Here is a 24596-nt window from a genome sequence, read left to right as displayed (position 1 = left end):
TAGCAAAGATATGGAATCAACCTAAATGGCCATCAATGGTAGACTGGATAAAGAAAATGTAGCACATATACACATGAAATACCATGCAGCCATAAGAAATAGTGAGGTCATGTCTTTTTCAACAACATGGATGGAACTGGAGGTCCTATGCGAACTATCACAGGAACAGAAAACCAAATACTACCTGTTGTCACTTATAAGTGAGAGCTAATCGTTGAGAACACATGAACCCAAAGAATAAAACAACATACACTGGGGCCTACTTGAGGGTGAAAAATGGGAGGAGGATGAGGATTTAAAAATTACCTATCAGGTTCTGTGTTTATTATCTGGGTGATGAAATAACCTGTGCATCAAACCCCCATGATATGCAATTTATATATACATAACAAATATGCACACATACCCTTGAACCTAAAATAAATTTTTTTTAAAAGAAAACACAAAACAAAACAGCAGATGCAAATGTGATTTCATCAGTAGTAACATTAAACTTAAATGACCTCCAGGCAAATGACAGAGATAGGCAGAAATACCTGTCAATCATGAATGAGATAAGTAAAAGAGAATGAAAGAATATGATCCAATTACATGCTTTTAAATAAAATAAACACTTTAGATTCAAAGACACTAAAGGAATTAAGGTAAAAATATTGAAAAAATATATTATGCAAACAGCTACCAACAGAAATAGAGTCACTATACTAACATTAGGCAAAATACACTTTAACACAAAAATGCTTAATAAAGAAATTTTTAATGACAATAAGGTCACGCCATCAGGAAGACATAATAATTATAAACATTTGAGCCTAATAACAGAACACCCAAATACACGAAGCAATAACTAATGCAATTGATGGAAGAAATATACAATTTAACAGTAACAGCTGGAGAATTCAAAACCTCTTTCTCAGTAATGGATAGAGCAATTGGCAGAAGACCAACAAGGAAATAGAAGACTTGAACAAAATGTTAAACCAACAATACCTAATAAATGTGTATAGGACACTCACCTACCAACAGCAAAATATATATATTCCTCTCAAGTGCACATGGAACAACCTCCAGATGGACCATATGCTAGGCCATAAAACCAGTTTCAATGCTGCTTCTACTTCATAATTTATTCTTAATCTATCATAGTTTTCTATTTCTTCATGATTCAATCTTACATTTCATCTGTCTAGGAATTTATCTATTTCTAGGTTTTCCAAATGATCAACATATAGTTGTTTATAGTAGCATTTAATAAATTCATTTAATTTCTGTGGTATCATTGTAACATCTCCTTTTTTGCCTCTGATTTTATTTATTTGGGTCTTCTCTCCTTTTTCTTAATCTGGCTAAAGTTTTGTTGATTTTGTTTATCTTTTCAGAAAACTAACTTTTCATTGTGTTATTTTTTATTTTTAGTCTCAATTTTATGTATTTCTGCTGTTATCTTCATTATTTCTTTTCTTCTACTAATTTTACGTTCAGTTTGTCCTTACTTTTCTAGTTTTCAAGATGTATCATTAGGTTATTGACTTGAAATCTTTCTACTTTTTTGATGTAGGCATTTATTGCTATAAAATTCCCTCTCAGTACTGCTTTTGTTCTATTATGCAGGTGTTTGTATGTTGTGTTTCTATTTTCATTTGTTTCAAGAAACGCAGTAAAGAAAGTTGCAGGATCAGAAAGCAACAAATAAAAATCAGGAGCATTTACATATATCAACAGCAAACAATCTGAAAAAGAATCCAAGATAGTAATCCCATGTATAATAGACAAGAAAAAAAATACCTAGGAATAAATTTAACCATAGAAGTGAAATATTTCTCCAGAGAAAACTATCAAACATTGATTTAAAAAAAATTGAAGAGGACAGAAATAAATAGAAAGATATCCATATTCAAGGATTGGAAGAATCCATATTGTTAAAATGACCATACTACCCAACATAATCTACAGATTCAATGCAATTTCTATTAAAATACCAAAGACACTCTTCACAGAAATAGAAAAAACAATTTTAAAATTTATATGAAAACACGAAAGACTACTATTAGCCAAATCAATACCAAGCCAAAAGAACAAAGCTGGAAGCATTCACATTACCTGATTTCAAATAATATTACCAGGCTATAGGAACCGAAATAGCATGATATTAGCATAAAAGACCAATGGACGAGAATATAAAAAACCCAGAAATAAATCCATCCATTTACAGTCAACTCATTTTCAGCAATTGCACCAAGAATATATATTGGGAAAAGAATAATCTCTTCAATAAATAGTGCTAGAAAAATTGGATATTTGTGTGCAAAGCAAACAAACAAAAAACTAGATCCCATTTCATCATGTAAAAGTTGTATCAGTATTTCATTAATGGGTGAATATATAAGGAAAATGTGATATATTTACAGAAGAAAATGCTATTTCGCCTTAGAAAAAAAGAAATTCTGTCTTTTTCAACATGTATCAACCTGGAGGACATTATGTTACATGAAAGAAGCCATAGAAAGAGAAATGAACATGTCTTACTTGCAGGTGGAATCTAAAACAAACTCACAGAAGCAGGGAGTAGAATGGTGATTACTAGAGCTGGAGAAGTTGGGAGAATGGGATTTGTCAAAGGACAAAAAGTTGCAATTAGGAGGAATAAATGATAAGTATTTAAGGTGATACATACATCAGTGTAGTGTGGAAAGAAAAAATAAAATAAAATAAAAATTAAGGTGATACATATGTTAATTTGCTTTTTTCAATAATCCCACACCCTGTGTTGAGTATATAATATCACTGTGTACTCTGCAATTATATACAATTACATTTTGTCAAAAAATAAAAATTAAATTTAAAATTTGTAGCCTATATTTGGAGTATTTAATGTACAAGGATGCAATTTTGTGACATCTACAACTAAAAGGATTTAGGAGAGACTTGTTAAAAATAGCAGATTTTTGTGTATTACTGAAGTTAAGCTGGTATAAAGTTAAATAAATGTAATTCCTATAGTAATCTCAAAGAAAATAGCTGTAGAGTATATACAAAAGGAAATGAGAAAGGAATATAATGTCTTATTATAAAATCAGCTAAACACAAAATAAAACCGTAATGCAGAAAATGAAGAAAAATAAGCTATAATACCTATTTAAAAAATAGCAAAATGACAGAAGTTCCTCTTTTTCAGTAATCACTTTAAATATAAATGGATTAAACTGTTGACTCAAAAGAAAGAGATTGGAAGAATAAATAAAAGCACATGGTCCAATGACATGCTATCTACAAAAGACTCACTTTTGATCCAAAATCAAAATAGGTTGAAAGTGAAAAAATGACAAATAGTAACCAAAAGAGAGCAGGGGTGGCTATATTAACAGTAAAAAGACTTTAAATCAAAAAAGATTGCAAGAGATAAAGAAGGATCTTATTCTATTAATAAAAGGTTCAATACAGAAAGAACATACAACAACTATATACATGTATGCACCTAATAACAGACCATCCAAACATATGAAGCAAAAACTGATAGAATTGAAAGCAGAATAGACAGTTCCACAATAATAGTTGGAGATTTGAATATAGCACTCTCAATAATGGATAGCACAACTAGATAAAACATAATTAAGGAAATAGAGGGCTTAAATAACACAATAAACCAACCAAATCTAACAAACACACACAGAACACTCAACCCAACAACACTATACATATTATTCTCAAATGCACATGGAACATTTTTCAGGGTAGACAATACCTCTGTTAGGCCACAAATTAAGTTTCAATAGATTGAAAAAGAGAGATATAGAAAACGTCTTCTCTAACAACAACAGGATAAAATTAGTAATCAATAACAGAAGTAAAACTGGAAAATTCACAGATTTGTGAAAATTAAATAACACATTCCTAAACAACGAAGGAAAACAAAGAGGAAACCACAAAGGAAATTGGAAATACATAGAGATGAATAAAAAAGAAAACACATTGTAACAACTTATGGGAAACAGTGAAAATCATGATAAGGAGAAATGTACAGCTATAAATCTTCACATTAAAAAGCAAGAAAGATCTCAGCCCAACAACCTAATTTTACATCTTGAAAAACTAGAAAAAGAAGAACAAACTAAACTAAAGCTGGCAGAAAGAAGGAAACAATCAAGATTACACCAGAGAACAAATGAAATAGAGAATAGAAAAACAATAGAGAAAATAAATGAAACTATAAGTTTGTTCTTTGAAAGACCAGCAAAATCGACCAACTTTTACCTGGATGGACTAAGGAAAAAAGAGAAAAGACTCAAATTACTAAAATCAAAAGTAAATGGCAAAATATAGATTTAATGTAATCTTTACCACAATTCCAATGTTGTTCAAAGGAAAACCCATCCTAAAATTGACATAAAATCTCATGGGACCCCAAATAGACAAAACAATCTTGGTTCCATTTGAATTTTAGAACGAGTTTTTCTACGTCTGCAAAAGACACCATTAAAGAAGAATATATCTGGAGGACTCACACTTCCTGATTTCAAAACTTAATACAAAGCTACTGTAATAAAAACAGGATGGTGCCAAAGACAGATATATAGATGAATTAAGAGAGTAGAGTGCAGAAAAATAAACTCTTTCACGTATGGTCAAATTTTTTAGAAGGGTACTGATAGCGTTCAATGGGGAAAAGACAAGCTTTTCAACAAATGGTGCTGGGAAAATTGAATATTCACATACAAAAAATAAAATGAAGTCAGACCCTTACCTAACACCATATACAGATATTAACTCAAAATGGATCAAAGACCTACATGTAAGACCTAAAACTGTAAAACTCGTAGGAAAAAACAAAGGGTAAAAGATTCATGACATTGGATTTAGCAATAATTTCTTGGATCTTGGATATGACACCAAACGTACAGGCAACTAAAGAAAAAATGGACAAGCTGAACTTCGTGAAAATTAAAAATTTTGCCTATCAGAACACACTACCAAAACAGAGTAAAAAGGCCACCCACAGAATAAAAGAAAATATTTGCAAATTATATGGTTGATACATGATGACTCTCTAGAATGTATGGAGAACTCCTAAATCTCAACAACAAAAAACAACCATATTAAACAACAGGCAAAAAACTTGGAATAGACATTTCTCTAAAGAAAATACACAAATGTCCAAAAAGCACATGGAAAGATGGTCAATATCACTAATAGGAAAACGCAAATCAAAGCTATGAGCTACCACTTCCAACCCATGAAGATAGCTACTACCAAAAAAGAAAACAACAACAAAATAACCAGTGTTGGTAAAGATATGAAGAAATTGGAACTCTTGTGCACTATTGCTAAGAATGTAAAATATTAATAGTATAGCACTATAGAAAACAGTATAAGAGTTCTTCAAAAAATTAAAAATACAGTTAACATTTGATCCAGCAATTTCACTTCTAGGTAAATATCTAAAAAATTTCAAAGGAGGGTCTTCAAGAGATACTTGTACTGCCATGCTCACAGTGGTATTATTCACAATAACAAAAATATGGAAGCAACCGATGTCCATTGACATATAAATGAATAAGCAAAATGTGGTATATACATACAAGTAAATATTATTCAAAAATATTATTTATAATTATTAGTATTCAATATAATTCAGAATTATTACTCATAGTATATACATACAATGATAATATTTCCTTAAGAAAGAAAATTCTGACATATGCTACAACATGAATAAAACTTGAGGACATTATGCTAAGTGAAATAAACCAGTCATTAAAAGACAAATATTGTATGATTTCATTTACACAAGGAAGTTACAGCAGCCAAAATCATAAAGACAGAAAGTAGAATGCTGATTGCCAGGGGCTGGGGAGAGGGAAGAAAAGGAAGTTGCTGTTTAATAGATAGAATATCAGTTTTACAAGATGAAAAGAGTTACAGAGATGAATAGCAATGATGGTTGCACAACACTAGAAATGTATTTAATGCCACTTAACTGTATATTTTAAAATGGTTAAGATGGTACACTTTATGTTACATACAATTTAGCTCAATTTTTTAAAATTGGGGAAAATGGCAAGGAGAGGAGGGAGTGGGAAATACATCACACATTTTCAGAAAAGATTTGTTCCAGAAAGATTAAAAAAAAAAAGGCAAGGCAATTTTGAAGGGAAATTGCATGAGACAGTAAAAAAAATATTAAACAGAAAAAGAATGGCTGCTCTAAAGAGTAGAGAAAACCTTTGGCAATATACTGTAGTAGTGGTTAAGCATATTGACTTAAACGTCAAAAGGACCTGGGTTTGTACCCTGGCTCCCCTGAAGAAACTCGTTACATTTGAGCCTCGGATTTCTCATCTGTAAAATGAGAGAAAATAATACTACTACTTATGCTTTGGTTGCAAAGTTTAAATAGAATAGCTAAGTTGTAAACAATTATAATTACCTAAATTGAGTCAATTATCTTTCTGAATGCTTAATAAGATAGATGTAAACTTAATAGCACCTCCATGGGTTGGATAGCAAGAGCTGCTTGTTTACCAAATAAACTAGCAAAGGCATTGCTTTTAGCTTCTGTGGTGACCTCTGAAGTATTAGCTTATATTTTAATAGCTGATATTTCTTGGGGACTTAATAGCTTTTAATATGTAATTGATCAATTTATCATTTTTTAATCAGGTTACCTGAATATGTCTCAAATTCCTTTTGCTTTCATAGCACCGCAAAATCATGAACTAAAACACATCTACTATATGTTAAATGTTTACTTTTGTGTGTGTGTGTGTGCCAGAATGTAGGATCAATTCAAAGGTATTAGTTTACTTACTTGGGAAAACAGAGCAATACCTGATTTGATGGTTACATATTCCATGATAATTACATATTAACATATCTTGCACAGGAAATATCTTTGTCATTTTTAAGAAAAAGCTATCTGTAAACAACATCAAATCAGGATTAATTTGTAAGATCAGCCCTGGACACACTTACCTCTTGAATTACAGCTAAAAAGCTATGCAATTTCCCTTCAACTGTAAGGCTTAGAATTGAAAAAAAAAAAATTAAATTGTGATACAAGCAGCAAAAAGTAGGAAGTCTTTGTAAGTAGTAGAAGGAATAACAGAAATGTTGAAAGCTGCCTAGAAGTTAGAGCAATTTCACAGTTTTATGGCTGAAATTACAGAGGAGATAGTAAATGCCATATGGGCCTAGCCAAAGAGCCTTGAGTAATTTGTTATCATGGTAATGGAGATCATACAACTTTAAAGAATTTACTGGCCTCACAGAGGGATGTCTTTTCTCTGGCTAACACTTTCTGCTCTTTCCGGTTCACACTTCAGAACAAGTAGAAAAAAGTATCCTAAAAAAAAAAAGAAAAGCTGATTGGCTCTCAAACGACAATTTGAGTTTGGGTATTTATTCACTTAGTTTTGGCTGGGTCAAATAGGAGCCTTGTTTACATGGAATTTTCCCAACTATAATAACAGAGTTTTGTGTTTTCACTAAGAATTATTTTTGCTTTGATTTGAGACATTAGCAGGTACTTACATGCTATCATACAGCTGCTGTCTAGAAGGGATATGTGAAGTGATGATTTGTGCCGGAAAGAGATAGAACACCTCAGTCCTTCTCCTCTGGATAAACAGAATAATGAAAAGAAGGCATGGTAAATCCTGACATGACCACCCAGACTGATGACAGCTGTACATTTAAAACTACTGGAGATGCCATGATCCTGAAATAAGCACCTTACTTGGGCAATAAACACAACATAGCATTGTAGTCTAGGAATGAGTATTTCACATACACAACAAAAACAAACAAACAAAAGTACTTCCTTGAAAATCCAAAAACAGGCAGCTCAACACTTACACAGGGCTTAACTAATTTGGTCAGATAGCACCAGCCAATCAGTAGCTGATTTCATAACTGATTTCTTCAGAAACTGATTTCCTACGTGAAATGAGTACCGTATTCTTCCCCCAAGCCTCAACAATAGTGATTAGCCTTATTCCTGGGTTACATTCTCTGCTTAACACTCAATGTTTTGTCTAAGAGCCATCCATTTTTCTCTAAAAAAAAAAAAAGGGAAATATCCTGTGGAAACAAAAATAAAACTGAAAAAAAGGTTGGTGATACTTGTCAGTTTTCATAAACCTGCAGTTTTGATTTTTTTATTCTAAAGAAATACATACATTCGTACTTAATTTTATAATCATAATTTTAAATGATTTTTCCTTAAAGATAGTCCTCAAAACACTGCCCAAGGTAATTTATAGATTCAATGCCATCCCCATCAAGCTACCAATGACTTTCTTCACAGAATTGGAAAAAACTACTTTAAAGTTCATATGGAACCAAAAAAGAGCCCACATTGCCAAGTCAACCCTAAGCCAAAAGAACAAAGCTGGAGGCATCACGCTACCTGACTTCAAACTATACTACAAGGCTACAGTAACCAAAACAGCACGGTACTGGTACCAAAACAGAGATATAGACCAATGGAACAGAACAGAGCCCTCAGAAATAATGCCGCATATCTACAACTATCTGATCTTTGACAAATCTGACAAAAACAAGAAATAGGGAAAGGATTCCCTATTTAATAAATGCTGCTGGGGAAACTGGTTATATATAGAAAGCTGAAACTGGATCCCTTCCTTACACCTTATACAAAAATTAATTCAACATGGATTAAAGACTTAAATGTTAGACCCAAAACCATAAAAACCCTAGAAGAAAACCTAGACAATACCATTCAGGACATAGACATGGGCAAGGACTTCATGTCTAAAATACCAAAAGCAATGGAAACAAAAGCCAAAATTGACAAATGGGATCTAATTAAACTAAAGAGCTTCTGCACAGCAAAAGAAACTACCATCAGAGTGAACAGGCTACCTACAGAATGGGAGAAAATTTTTGCAATCTACTCATCTGACAAAGGGCTAATATCCAGAATCTACAATGAACTCAAACAAATTTACAAGAAAAAAACAAACAACCCCATCAAAAAGTGGGCAAAGGATATGAACAGACACTTCTCAAAAGAAGACATTTATGCAGCCAACAGACACATGAAAAAATGCTCATCATCACTGGCCATCAGAGAAATGCAAATCAAAACCACAATGAGGTACCATCTCACACCAGTTAGAATGGCGATCATTAAAAGTCAGGAAACAACAGGTGCTGGAGAGGATGTGGAGAAATAGGAACACTTTTACACTGTTGGTGGGACTGTAAACTAGTTCAACCATTGTGGAAGTCAGTGTGGCGATTCCTCAGGGATCTAGAACTAGAAATACCATTTGACCCAGCCATCCCATTACTGGGTATATACCCAAAGGATTATAAATCATGCTGCTATAAAGACACATGGACACGTATGTTTATTGCAGCACTATTCACAATAGCAAAGACTTGGAACCAACCCAAATGACCAACAATGATAGACTAGATTAAGAAAATGTGGCACATATACACCATGGAATACTATGCAGCCATAAAAAAGGATGAGTTCATGTCCTTTGTAGGGACATGGATGAAGGTGGAAACTATCATTCTCAGCAAACTATCGCAAGGACAAAAAACGAAACACTGCATGTTCTCACTCATAGGTGGGAATTGAACAATGAGAACACACGGACATAGGAAGGGGAACATCACACACCGGAGCCTGTTGTGGGGTGGGGGACGGGGGAGGGATAGCATTAGGAGATATACCTAATGCTAAATGATGAGTTAATGGGTGCAGCACACCAACACGGCACATGTATCCATATGTAACAGACCTGCACATTGTGTACATGTACCCTAAAACTTAAAGTATAATTTAAAAAAAAAAAAAAGATAGCCTTCAAAATAGAATGAACTCGGGTCTCACAAAACTTGGAGCAGCAGGCTATAATTCTGGATTACTTGAAAATGGCAATTTGACACTGGTTTCCCATGGGTTCAAACATGGTAGGGAATATCTGGATTAGGATGTTATTTTCCCTGTAAGCTCTTCCTTTGAGGACAACTTCTTGGAACTGAAGAGATAATATCTAGTCAAACTCATTAATCAACTAAACCTTATGGTCCTAGGGAGCCTATCTCAACAAATGAATTTATATGCCTTCTTCTTTCAAAAAACTATACACTTTAAATACACATCCCCTTTCACTTAGCTATCAAACTTTCTTATAAATGTAACTCCAATTACTTTATTGCAAGTGTCTGTTAATTTTAATTCCCTTTATGCTGTCTTTTGTTTTTAATTTGAATTATACCAATTTATTTGTATAGTATTATAGCTCATCCACTCATTTTTCTTGACACATATAAAATTGAAATCCATAATAAATAAATATCCCTTAAACCCACAAATAGTCTAAGAAAGGAGTCACCACCTGATCCATTTTTATTTACAAGGCCGTATGAAAGCATTACCTTCATAATCACCAAGCATTCATCCATCCACCCATTGTTTTGATAACTACATTTGATGCCTACTATATATCAATTACTAGCAAGTGAAAAGAACATTCTCCTAGTATTAATCAAGAGATCAGGACCACCTTTAAAGGATATTCTTTTAAAAATCTTTATCACCTGTAGAACACCATGCTGAGATTTTAACATGGTTGTTACTCTATAAATATCTATGGGGTTACTATAATTTAATATTTCAGTAATGGAATAAACTTGGATCCAGAAATCCTGTATCTGAATCCTAGACTTGCCAGTTCAGACTGTATCTGAATCCTAGACTTGCAAGTTATGTGACTTTAGAAAAGCCTTTTATATCTGTGGGTCTCTAGTTCTCCAATTATAAAATGGTATGACAGTTCCCATCTACCTAGTTAATGAGATTAATGTGAAACTGTAAGGCTGAAATATATGAGCAAGTATTGGGCCAAGGGTGTGATAGATTTGCTAGTGCTTGGTCCCAGCTTATAAACTAGTGGGAAGGACAGAAATGCATCATCATAAAATTACCATGATGGAGGGCTATGCATAATATAGTGGGACAAAGCGTCTACATCTGCATCTGGAGTCAGTGAGGGTTAAGAGAAGCAGCAGCTTTGAACTGAGACTTGTAAGAATTCAGCAAATAAAAGAAAAGGAAGGGCATTCTTGGCAGAGGAAATCACTCCTGCAAAACACGTGGCATAAGAATCTGTGGTGTGTTTGGAAAACTACAAGTAGTTTATAATTTGAGAAACCATATGCAAGGAAAAGGTGAAGTAGAGTACACATTAGGGGAGAAGAAGGGGTAGCTGATAGGAACAGATGGACAGACAAGGAAAGTTCACGAAAGACCAACATTGTCTGCTATACGATAGAATTTGGATTTCACCACTTGAGCAGTGGAATATCACGGAAAGATCTGTAGGAAGAGAGGAACACAGATCTGCTTATTGAAAAGACCATTCTGACACCAATGGAGAGAACAAATTGGAGGTGGCAAGACTAGTATTAGGAAATGCAGTAAATCCTCTTCCAGATTTCCTAGTGGGTCTGATGGCCATCTGATACTCTCTCCACATTTTGAAGAAAGTTCCCTGTCAGAATCATCCCCACTTGGCCGGGCGCGGTGGCTCACGCCTGTAATCCCAGCACTTTAGGAGGCCTAGGCGGGCGGATCACGAGGTCAGGAGATCAAGACCATCGTGGCCAACACGGTGAAACCCTGTCTCTACTAAAAAATAGAAAAAATTAGCCGGGCGTGGTGGCGGGCGCCTGTAGTCCCAGTTACGCCTGAGGCTGAGGCAGGAGAATGGCGTGAACCCAGGAGGCGGAGCTTGCAGTAAGCCGAGATCTCACCACTGCACTCCAGCCTGGGCGACAGAGCAAGACTCCGTCTCAAAACAAAAACAAAAACAAAAACAACAGAATCATCCCCACTCTTGCCCCCTAAGACTAACACACGCCAACTATTACCCTGCCAGTGCTGTGCGTGTTCAATATGCGTTTCATCCCACTGCAATTATTAGACTTCAACACAAACAAAATAAGCTTGACATTAAGAAAAGTCCATTGCTCTAATAAATTCACAGATAACGATGATGGTATTGAGAGCTAACACTTATTGTGTCCTAGGTGCCACATACTATACCAAGCATTTCACATGCTCTATCACATCTAATGCACACAGTAACCCTACAATTATAGTGATGATTGCTGTCACTAAAACAAAAACAAAGAAAAAAAAAGTTTAGGAAAGTTAATTGAGTGCAGTGGTGTACAGTGAGGCAGGAGGATTGCCTGGGCCCGGAAGTTAGAGTCCTGCCTGGGCAACAGAGCAAGACCCTGCCTCTCTCGCTCTCTCTCATTCTCTCTCTCTCTCTATATATATATACACACACTTGTGTATATATATACGTATATATATACACACACTTGTGTATATATATGTATATATACACACTTGTGTATATATATGTATATATATACACACTTGTGTATATATATGTATATATATACACACTTGAGTATATATATGTATATATATACACACTTGAGTATATATATGTATATATATACACACTTGAGTATATATATGTATATATATACACACTTGTGTATATATATGTATATATATACACACTTGTGTATATATATGTATATATATACACACTTGTGTATATATACGTATATATATATATATATATATATATATATATATAATTGAGAAGGAGTCTTGCTTTGTCACCCAGGCCGGAGTGCAGTGGCACAATCTTAGCTCACTGCAACCTCCGCCTGCCGGGTTCAAGCAATTCTCCTGCCTCAGCCTCCTGAGTAGTTGGGATTACAGGCACCTGCCACCACACCCAGCTAATTTTTGTACTTTTAGTAGAGACGGGGTTACACCATGTTGGCCAGGCTGGTCTTGAATTCCTGATCTCAGGTGATCTGCCTGCCTTGGCCTCCAAAAGTGCTGGGATTATAGGCATGAGCCACCGCACCCAGCCCAAAAATATTTTTAAATAAAAAAAATTAAAATGAAAAGAAGTTTAGGGAAGTTTTATAACTTGCTCAAGCTTATACACACACACACACACACACACACACACACAAACACACAAAATGGCTGAGGTCAGCCTTAAAGCCAGTAGTATCTAACAACACGACTCTTACCTTCCCATACTATACAGAGCATCAGAAATGACACAACGGGCATTGTCTCCAGTATTGTGATATTAAAGATAATGGGACTAATCTGTTTTGTGACTGATAAAATCTGAGGTGCCAAGGTAACATACATTTTCTAAATTTTCTACCATTAATTGTGTAATTAGAAAATCAAAAAAGCAAAAAGTTGTTAATTTGCTGAGTATGTTTATTTCAAAACAGACCACTGTGCAGTATAGTGATTGTATTAGTGTTCTTCAGAGAAAGAAAACCAATAGGATATATAGAAATTTGCAAGAGGAGATTTATTGCAGGACTTGGCTCACATGATAATGGAATCCAAAGAGTCCCATAATACGCCATCTACAAGCTAGAGAACAAAGAAAACTAATGGATTTTGATGATGTTCCTCCACATTGCTGAAGGTGTATCTTCTTTACTCAGTCTACTGATTCAAATGCTAGTCTCTTACAGAAACACTTTTGTAGAGATACCCAGAAATTATGTTTAAACAGCTCTCTGGTTATCCCCTAACCCAGTCAAGGTGACACATAAAATTAATCATCACAGTAATAAAATCTTTAAAATGTTCCCTGTTTATATTATAGAAATGATCACTGAGTCACACTATCATGAAATGTTCAACAACAAAAAGATACTGTATTAGCTAGTGTAATAAATCAAGGATATGTGATCCAGATAATTTTAAAATGAGAACACTCAAATATCTAGGTTAGTTTTTTTAATATTTATAATCCACTTGTTCCAAAATTATAATTTTGAGATGTGTACAAAATTTTATGCAACAAAATCAATAGATGAGAAAAATGTTCAAAGAAAACAGTTTTTTTTTCTCAGCAAATTTGGATCCTTGTAATCTCTGATTAATTTAATACGAAAATGAGGGTTGTTTGTTTGCTTGTATTTGAGATGGAATTTCACTCTTGTTGCCCAGGCTGGAGTGCAATGGCACAATCTCGGCTCGCTGCAACCTCCATCTCCCAGGTTCAAGCGATTCTCCTGCCTCGGCCTCTCAAGTAGCTGGGATTACACAGGCACACGCCACCACGTCCGGCTACTTTTTGTATTTTTAGTAGAAACAGGGTTTCGCCATGTTGGTCAGGCTGGTCTCGAACTCCTGACCTCAGATGATCCACCCTCCTCAGCCTCCCAAAGTGCTGGGATTAGAAGTGTGAGCCACCGTGCCCAGCCGAAAATGAGTTTTTAGTCTCCAAGAACACACCAAGTGCCAGGTGCAGTGGCTCATGTCTGTAATCCCAGCATTTGGGAGGCTGAGATGGGAGAATCGCTTGAGTCCAGGAGTTCAAGACCAGCCTGGGCAGCATAGGGAGACCCTCTACAAAATATAAACAAAATTAGCTTGGTGTGCTGGCACACACCTGTAGTCCCAGCTACACAGGAGGCTGAGGTGGGAGGATCATCTGAGCCCAGGAAGTCGAGGCCTCAGTGAGCCAAGATTACACAACTACACTTCAGCCTGGATGACAAAGCAAGACCCTATCTATCTCAAAAAATAAATAAATAAATAAATAAATAAAAGACACACTAAATATAGTAGGCAGAATTCAATGTGATAACTATGATTCCCACCCTGGGTGTATGTACCCTGTTTAATCTCCTCCACTTAAGTATGAAGTTAACTATGAATATGATAGATTTTACCCCCTCAATTAAGTGAACTAATATGATAAATGTGAAGGGATTTTGCAGATATAATTAAATCCAAAATTAGTTCATTTTGAATTCTTCAAAAGAGAGATTATCCTATATGGGCCTGACCTAATTTAGTGAGCCTTGGAAATGGACTTAGGCTTTCCAGAAAAAAAAAAGAAAAGAGAGAGGGAGAGAGAGAGATTTAAAACATGAGAAATCCTTCTGTGGACTTTTAAGAGGTAAATTTTAAGGTTGTGAGAGGGCCATGTGGCTAGACCTGAGGTTCTCTTAGGTTCTGAAAATGGTCCCTGGCCAACAGCTAGCAAGAAAGTGGGGATCTGGGTCCTACAACAAGCAAGAAAACAAGAACCTCTGTACTAGAGTTGCAAGGGACTGAATTCTGCCAAAAGCTGTGTGAGCTTGGAAGAGAATTAGGGCTTCAGAGGAGGATACAGCCTGACCAACACCTTGATTTCAGCCTTGTGAGATACTGAGCAGAAAAACCCAGCCATACCATGCCAACTTCTGATCTACAGACTTTGAGATAATAAACAGATGTTGTTTTAAGCCACCATATTTGCAATAATTTTTAATGTAGAAATTAAAAATACTAATACACTGAAGTAAAGATGTGACCCACTGCATGCTGGACAACATGAAAAACTGGCCTCTGACACCAGTAACGCACAAGACATACAACTGGCTACCCTCAGGGAATGTAGAACCAACCATGCACATAAAATACATACACCTCTAAACAATCTTACATAATTTGAGGTTTTTATATTTTGCATTTTTACCAATGCAATTAAAAGCCAATGCCTCAAGATAAAAGTAATATGAGAAACAGGCAAGTCAAATGTAAATAACTTCAATGTTCTAATAGCAAACCTATGTCCTAACATCATAAGTACTACACTTGTTTCTTTCTTGACACTATGAATCTCAAGTTTCTAAAGAATTAAGTCTCTAGTTTGAGACTAATATAAAGACTAGAATTCAAGTGTCCCTATTCTCTTTCTCCTTTATTACTGAGGCTTTATTTACCCTGACTTGTCACAGGTTTACAAGGACCTATTTTCTCTGCTTTTCTCATATTGCAATGTCTTGATAATGGAGATTGGAAAATTGCGTGGTTATTGGGTAATACTCCCAGAAAACATAGATCCTATTTAACTTTATATTCCAGAAGCCCATATCTCTCTATAAGCCATACTTTTTAACTTTAAAATCTCAGTAAGACGTGTTGAGAAAAAGCTTACTTTGTTCTAATCTCATTCTTTCTCCCCTTCACCCTCCACATATGCACAGTCTTATTTAAATAGTTTGAGAAGCGAGGCAGAAGAAATTAAGGCATTATTTGCCTGCAGCCTAAGAATTAGACTTACAGTCTGAATTCTAGCCAATACAAAAATGTTCTATATCTAAAAATTTAGAAGGTAGTCCTTCAGCTACAAGCAATCCGTTTCAGTAGCTGAAATACTGAAACTCAGCAGATAGATTACAGATGTGAATTTCTTCTGGGAACACATTTAGCAAAGAACATTTTGAAACTATTTCATTCACTCAGTAAGATCGATGCTGAGTCCACTGAAAACCAGGATTGTTAACAGGTTTAGATTCCACAACATAATTGGTTAGGAAATATATTTAAAGTTCCTAAAACAACAGTAAATTTTAACTGTTATTTTTTTCGTTAACAGATTGCTATACTTCTATGAAAGAATGATTGGAATCTGTATCTAAGGAACACCTGAAATTATCCTAGCACCACAAAAATGAAAGCTGTGTCTAACCAATAAATAAATTACTTAGCACACTCCAAGAACAGCTGTGTGTATGTGCTTATTCATGTAAACAGGAGAGTTTACCTATTTTTCCCATATAAAACATCATTTTAGCAATGATTTGGCAAAAATAAATGATATCTAAACAGCAGATCTTAAAACAAGAAAACCAAAAATAAGCTAAAAGTACTGTTTTACTTTATTGTGAGAGTATTAATTTTAGAATGCTAAGGAAGAAAGGAAAAAGGGAAGGTAAAAAGAAAAGGAAGGAAGAAGGGAGGGAGGAAGTAAAGGGAAGAGTTGTCAGATGAAATGATTTTGCAGCCCAAATCTTCTTTTTTCATTCAATGAAGCTTTATTTATTTATTATGAGCTAGGCACTGTACTTGCCAATAAAGATGCCAGTTAGCTAAGGACAAAATCCAGTGAGCACAAAAATATAGAAACAGATCATTACAAGGAAATATGAAAAGAGCAGTAATACAGGTTTGAGCAAAGACCTATTAACTCTGCCTGGAAGTTTAAGTTCACTTTACAGAGGAGATGACATTTTAAGTGGAACTCAAAGAGCTAACTAAAACAATGTTGGAAGAGATCTCTATGTAAACTTTATACCTAAGAGAAATTCCAACTACCTTGATTCTTTTCCTGTTAACATTCCTGCTAACTCCAAAGACACCACCCAAACTCATGTATTATGTCTTGATCCTGCTACTTGTCCCAGATGAATGACACATCCTTCTGGAAAACAACTCTTTGGAGGACACTGTGAGACAAGAAAGAAGCCTGCTGACCAATAACACACTAGAAACTGAAAAGGCAGGCTGCAAGCAGTGGCTCACGCCTGTAATCTCAGCACTTTGGGAGGCTGAGGTAGGCAGATCACGAGGTCAGGAGTTTAAGACCAGCCTGACCAACATGGTGAAACCTCGTTTCTATTAGAATACAAAATTAGCCGGCATGGTGGCATGTGCCTGTAATCCCAGCTACTCAAGAGGCTGAGGCAGGAGAATCACTTGAACCCAGGAGGTGGAGACTGCAATGAGCCGAGATCACACTATTGCACTCCAGCCTGGGCAACAGAGCAAGACTCCATCTCAAAAATAAATAAATAAATAAATAAATAAAAGAAAGTGAAAAGGCTTTGACCTTCTTGGGGCAAGACCACAGAAAATTTATTTCACAACAGCTAGAATTAAATAAGGAAGATATTAAGGGAGCCAGAAACAAAAAGTATAAGACTACTAGATGAATTGCCAGTCTTGTGAAAATGGTGTGAAAATTCAAGTTATGCTTGAATGTATAAGAGTACAGCTTTGACCTTTATGACAACCATCTCTCATGGCACAGACTATCACAGTATTTATTCTTTCTTCTTTCTTCCTAACAGAAACTAAATTTTACCCAGGGAAGCAGAGAATTTACATTTCCCAATATCCCTTGCAAATAGGGTTGCCCAGGAGATATAACTAAAATAAATGAGTAGAATCTCTGGAAAATATTTTTTTAATATGCATCTTCATTGATAGGAATCCATTTGCTTTTTCTCTCCTCTTTCATAAGGAAAAATGAGAAGCCTGTGGCTTTGTTGCTTATAAAAGTCTAAAGGTGGTAACTTGCAAGAGAGAATAATAGAAAAACTAAGATAAAAACTCACATCCCTGATTAAATTACATGTGCTTACTTGATACTTCATTGAAAATTGGAAGGCTGAGAGAACATGAGAATTTTCTGTGCCTTTAAAATTATTACTACACACACACATACCCCTACCAAGTTAATTTTCTTCTAAAATAAAACACCAACAATCCTGAAAACTAACAATCCAGAATTGTTACAATGTCCATTTTTCAACCTAAAACTATTAGACATTCCAAGACAAGAAAGTGTGACCCACATGAGTTTAAATGTCAGATTTACAAAATAAGGAATTGAAAGCAGCTAAAAAACTATGTTCTACAATTAAAAGGAAATATGTTCCAATAATTTAAAAATGCTAATAATAGATAAACAAATTAGTAATCTCAATAGAGAAATTAAAACTATACGAAAGGACAAAAATATTTGAGCTGGAAAATACAATGATAAAATTAAAAAATGAGCTGAATAGCAGATTAGAGAAGGCAAAAAATGAATCAGTGTTTTGAATACAGAAACATACAAATTATCCAAATCAAAGTGTATAGAGGAAAAAACAAGATGATGAAAAACATCTCTAAAACTGTAATTGGATTATGTATAGAAGGATTTCCTCTCTCAATATTTCTTTTTAACATAATACAGAAAGTCCTAACCAGTGCAGTAAGACAGAGGAGAAAAAGGCATACACAGGATTAATACAACCCTCTATTCACAGATAACATGATCATATATGTAGAACACTCACTTATGTACTGTTTATGGCTGCTTTTATGCTATAATTGTAGGCCTCAGTAGTTGTAACAGAAACCAGTGGCCTGTAAAGTCTAAAGTAGTTACCATTTGGCCCTTTAGAGAAAACAAATTCTTAACTCTGATGTAGAAAAGCATAAGAAATACTGGAATATTGGAAAATTCATACTGGAATAATTGGATATATCTATGGGAAAAAAACCTTAACCCTTACTGAAGATAGTAATACACACACAAAAAATACAAAATGGATGCTAGATCTAAATATAAGAGCTAAACTATAAAACTTCTAGAAGAAAAGGTAAGAAATTTTTATGATCTTATGTTAGGCAAAAATTTCTTAGATAAGACACAAAGACTACAAAACATAAAAGACAAAAGGTATATTTGACTTAATCAAAATTAAAAATATATGCTCTCCAAAGACACTCTTTTGGAAATGAAAGGACAAGTCACAGATTGGAAGAAAATATTGCAAACTATATATAATAAAAAAGCTTGTATCCAGAATGAAATAAAAACTCTGAAAACTCAAACATAAGATGAACAAACTGATTAAAAATGGGCAAAACAAGATAAACAAAAAGTCAACAAGCATAAGATTCTCAACATCATTGGTCATTAGGGCAACACAAATGAAAACTACAAGGAGGTATCACTATGTACATACTGGAATGACTAATATTTTGAAAAGTGTACCATACCAAGTGTTGATGAGAATCTGGGCTCTGTTCATTTGCTAGAGCTGTCGTAACAGAATACCACAAACTGAGTAGCTTAAACAACAGAAATTTATCATCTCATAATTTTGGAGACTAGAAGTCTGAGATTAAGATGTCGGCAGTGTTGGTTCTCTCACTCACTGAGTGAGATATCTCTCTGAGTCAGAGAATAATTGGCTTAGTGCCTCTCACTTACTTCACGCTGTATTTTCTCTACATGTACATTTAAGTATCAAACTTCCCCTTTTTATATGGACCTCAGTCAAACTGAATTTGGGCCTGTCCTAATAATTTCATCTTAGCTAATTACATCTGTAACAACTGTATTTCCAAAAATAGTCACATTCTTGGGGTTGGGTTTCAACATATGATTTTTTAGGAAACACAATACAACCCATAACATGAAGCAATAAAGGCTCTCATACATTGCTTATGGAAATGAAAATTTGTAGAGTCACATGAGTAATTTCTTTTCTTTTCTTTTCTTTTCTTTTTTTTTTTTTTGAGATGGAGTCTCCTCTGTTGCCCAGGCTGGAGTGCAATGGCACCATCTCGGCTCACGGCAAACTCCACCTCCCGGGTTCAAGCAATTCTCCTACCTCAGCATCTCGAGTAGCTGGGATTACAGGCACCCGCCACCTGGCCCAGCTAATTTTTTGTATTTTTCGTAGAGATGGGGTTTCACTGTATTAGCCTGTATGGTCTTGATTTCCTGACCTCGTGATCCACCTGCCTCGGCCTCCCAAAGCGCTGGGATTACAGGCGTGAGCCACCACACGCATCCAGTAATTTCTTATAAAATTAATTATGTGCTTAATGTATGACCCAGAAATTGCATTCCTAGGTATCATCCCAAGAGACATTAAAACATATGTTCTCACAAACACTTGAATGCAAATATTTATAACAACCTTATCCTAATAGCCCCAAACTGGAAACAACCCAAATGTCCATCAACAGATAATGATAAACAAAATGTGGTAATATCCATACAATAAAAAACTACTGGCCAATTAAAAGGAGTAAACCGATGATGCACACTCACACAACTTAGTCGAATATTTAAAAAGTGCTAACATAAAAACTACATAATTTATGATGCTATGTGAAGTTCTAGAAAAGGAAAACTATAGTGACAACAAGCAGATCAATGGTCCCTGAGGTTAGAGGTGGAAATGGAGAGTAACTGCAAGGAGACATGAGAAAACATTCTGGAGTGATAACAGTGTTCTAAATCTTGAACATGGTGGAGCTGCAATACTATATACTTTTATCAAAACTCATAGAACTTAAAATGAATACATTCTATTGTATGTATATCATACTTTAAATCTGTTCAAAAATAGTACCATATTTAAAAATATTTGGAATTAAAGATGCTTTTATTTTCCAGTAAACATAGCAACATATACAAGTTATTTTATTCTGATACAAATCTATCATATAGAACATGTACCAAGCAATGTGCTGCAGTGGGACAGGAACAGATTTTATTCCATCCAGACAGATCTGGAAACAAAATTCGGTCTCCCACTCTATGCTTGATCAGTCTATTCTCTGATCCTCAATTTCCTCATCTGTAATGTGTACCACTTTGTGGTATGGCTTTGTGAGTCTTATAAGTATTACAAAGCACCTGATGTTTTCCCCTGTGTAGTCACATAATTTCCATGGTGTTTCATAGAAATACCCGTACTGAAGTAATATTTTCTATAGATAGCATATCAGGTAAAGATACAACTTACAAATGGCTATTCTTTCCACATACCATCAGAATCCTGAATGGTTTTCAGTAATCGTTTAGTTTATATATCTGGCAAAATTAAAAGTGCACTTACAATAACATTATAAGGATTCCTTTTCATTACAAAAGACATTCTTTCTGGCTACTGGAAAGCCTTTAGCTGAGATGGGCAGATCACCTGAGGTCAGGAGTTCAAGATCAGCCTGGCCAACATGGTGAAACCCAGTCTCTACTAAAAATACAAAAAATTAGCTGGATGTGGTGGCACATGCCTGTAGTGGGAAATCAGGGAACCAGAGAGACTGATAGGATTCAGGAGGATTTATTAAGGTGTACAATGGCTCAGCGGACTTCCATCCAGAAAGTCTGAGCCCCGAACAAAGAAGGCAAGGGCCTTTTATGCATCTTGAGGTGGGAAAAACATGAAGCAGGAAGTGGGTTTACGGAAGTGAGAAAAAAAGCAGTTAATCGTCTTGTGACATGTCATACATCTTAAGAAAAACATGTTTTGCAGAGTATGCTTCTCTGGCTTGTGACCTTGCAGCTGTTCAGCAGGAAAAACAGGAATTTACAGACCTTAAAAAATATGCAGAGGGTAGATATGGTTAATGTTTCACAGGGAGGCAGTTAATATTGTTTCTTAACTTCAATGGGTTACTCTGTACCCATTTCAGTCTTAACTGTAGACAGCAATTTTTAATAAATTATAATAATTATCTTCTTTTCTTTTTCTATTTCATCCTGTAATCCCAGCTACTCAGGAGACTGAGGCAGGAGAATCACTTGAACCAGGGAGTTGGAGGTTGCAGTGAGACAAGATTGCACCACTGCACTCCAGCCTGGTGACAGAGAGAAACTCTGTCTAAGAAAAAAAAATTAGCTGGGTATGGTAGCACATGCCTGTAGTCCCAGCTACTTGGGAGGCTGAGGCAGGAGAATCACTTGAACCTGGGATGTGGAGGTTGCAGTAAGCTGAGATCATCCCATTGCACTCCAATTTGAGTGACAATAGTGAAACTCTGTGTCAGAAAGAAAGAAAGAAAGAAAGAAAGAAAGAAAGAAAGAAAGAAAGCCTTCATTACATATGCATGCATAACAAGATAGAATATGATTGGGGGCTGGCAAGATGGTTGAAGAGGAAGAGCTCCAGTCTGCAGCTCTCAGCAAGATCCAAGCAGAAAATAGGTGATTTCTGCATTTCCAACTGAGGTACCCAGCTCATCTCATTGGGACTGGTTAGAGAGTGGGTGCAGCCCACAGAGGGTGAGCCAAAGCAGGGTGGAGCGTTGCCACACCCAGAAAGCACAAGCGGTTGGGGAACTCCCTCCCCTAGCCAAGGGAAGCCATGAGGGACTGTGCTGTAAGGAAGGGTGCATTTTGGCCCAGATATTATGCTTTTTCCACAGTCTTCAGAAACCACAGACCAGGAGAGTCCCTCAGGTGCCTACATCAACAGGGCCCTGAGTTTCAAGCAAAAAACTGGGTGGCCATTTGGGCAGACACAGAGCTAGCTGCAGGAGTTTTTTTTTTTTTTTTCATACCCCAGTGGCACCTGGAATGCCAGCAAGACAGAACCATTCACTTCCCTGGAAAGGGGGCTGAAGCCAGGGAGCCAAGTGATCTCACTCAGCGGGTGTTATGTTTTCTCTAAACTGGTTATAACTCTGTTATGTTCTTCTCTAAACAGGTTATTCTAGTTAGCAATTCCTCTAGAATAACCAGTTTAGAGAAGAACATAAATGACCTGAGGGAGCTGAAAAACACAGCAAAAGAATTTCATGAAGCATACACAAGTATAATGCTCAGCAAGCTAAGATCCACTGGCTTGAAATTCTCGCTGCCAGCATAGCCATCTGAAGTCAACCTGGGACACTCAAGCTTGGTAGAGGGGGAGGCATCTGCCATTACTGAGGCTTGAGTAGGTGGTTCCCCTCCACAGTGTAAATAAAGCCATAGGAAGTTCAAACTAGACGGAGCCCACTGCAGCTCAGCAAAGCCACTGTAACCAGACTGCCTTTGTAAATTCCTCCTCTCTGGGCAGGGCATCTCTGAAAGAAAGGCAGCAGCCGCAGTCAGGGGCTTATAGATAAAACTCCCATCTCCCTGGGACAGAGCACCTGGGGGAAGGGGCGGCTGTGGGCACAGCTTCAGCAGACGTAAATGCTCCTACCTGCCAGCTCTGAAGAGAGCACAGCACAACGCTCATGCTCTACTAAGAAACATACTGCCTCCTCAAGTGGGTTCCTGACCCTTGTGCCTCCTGCCTGGGAGACACGTCCCAGCAGGGGTCAACAAACACTTCATACAGGAGCACTCCAGCTGGCTTCTGGTGGGTGCCCCTCTGGGACGAAGCTTCCAGAGAAAGAAACTGGCCGCAATCTTTGCTGTTTTGCAGCCTCTGCTGGTGATACCCAGGCTAACAGGGTCTGGATTGGACCTCCAGCAAACTCCAGCAAACCTGCAGCAGAGGGCCCTGATTGTTAGAAGGAAAACTAACAAAAAGAAAGGAATAAAATCAACATTAACAAAAAGGACGTCCACACAAAAACTCCATCTGACATCAACATCAAAGACCGAAGGTAGATAAAGCCATGAAGATGAAGAAAAAACAGTGCAAAAAGGCTGAAAATTCCAAAAACCAGAAGGCTTCTTCTCCTTCAGAGAATCACAACTCCTCGCCAGCAAGGGAATAAAACTGGATGGAGAATGAGTTTGACAAATTGACAGAAGTAGGCTTCAGAAGGTGGGTAATAACAAACTCCTCCGAGCATATTCTAACCCAACGCAAGAAAGCTAAGAACCTTGAAAAAAGGTTAGAGGAATTGCTAACTAGAATAACAAGTTTAGAGAAGAACATAAATGACCTGAGGGAGCTGAAAAACACAGCACAAGAACTTTGTGAAGCATATACAAGTATCAATAGCCAAATCGATCAAGTAGAAGAAAGGATATCAGAGACTGAAATTCAACTTAATGAAATAAAGTGTGAAGACAAGATTAGAGAAAAAAGAATGAAAAGGAATGAACAAAGACCCCAAGAAATATGGGACTATGTGATAAGACCAAACCTACATTTGATTGGTGTACCTGAAAGTGACAGGCAGAATGGATCCAAGTTGGAAAACACTCTTCAGGATATTATCCAGGAGAACTTCCCCAACCTAGCAAGGCAGGCCAACA

The 24596-nt window shown here is 36.0% G+C and overlaps 1 long non-coding RNA gene across 1 annotated transcript in view; it reads right to left on the bottom strand.

Moving 5' to 3' along the window:
• Positions 1 to 5739: 5739 nt before the first annotated feature.
• The window catches only part of LOC105370478 (uncharacterized), a 30377-nt gene continuing 11520 nt past the window's right edge, over positions 5740 to 24596 (bottom strand). The window contains exons 3-4 of the long non-coding RNA XR_001750751.1: positions 7528 to 7613; positions 5740 to 7339 (exon numbers count right to left, since the gene is read on the bottom strand). This is a non-coding gene — a long non-coding RNA (uncharacterized LOC105370478). The remainder of the gene's footprint in view (positions 7340 to 7527; positions 7614 to 24596) is intronic.

Source organism: Homo sapiens, chromosome 14 (assembly GCF_000001405.40).
Source record: "Homo sapiens chromosome 14, GRCh38.p14 Primary Assembly".
NCBI classification, from domain to species: domain Eukaryota; kingdom Metazoa; phylum Chordata; class Mammalia; order Primates; family Hominidae; genus Homo; species Homo sapiens.
This window is presented reverse-complemented; position numbering and strand designations above follow the sequence as displayed.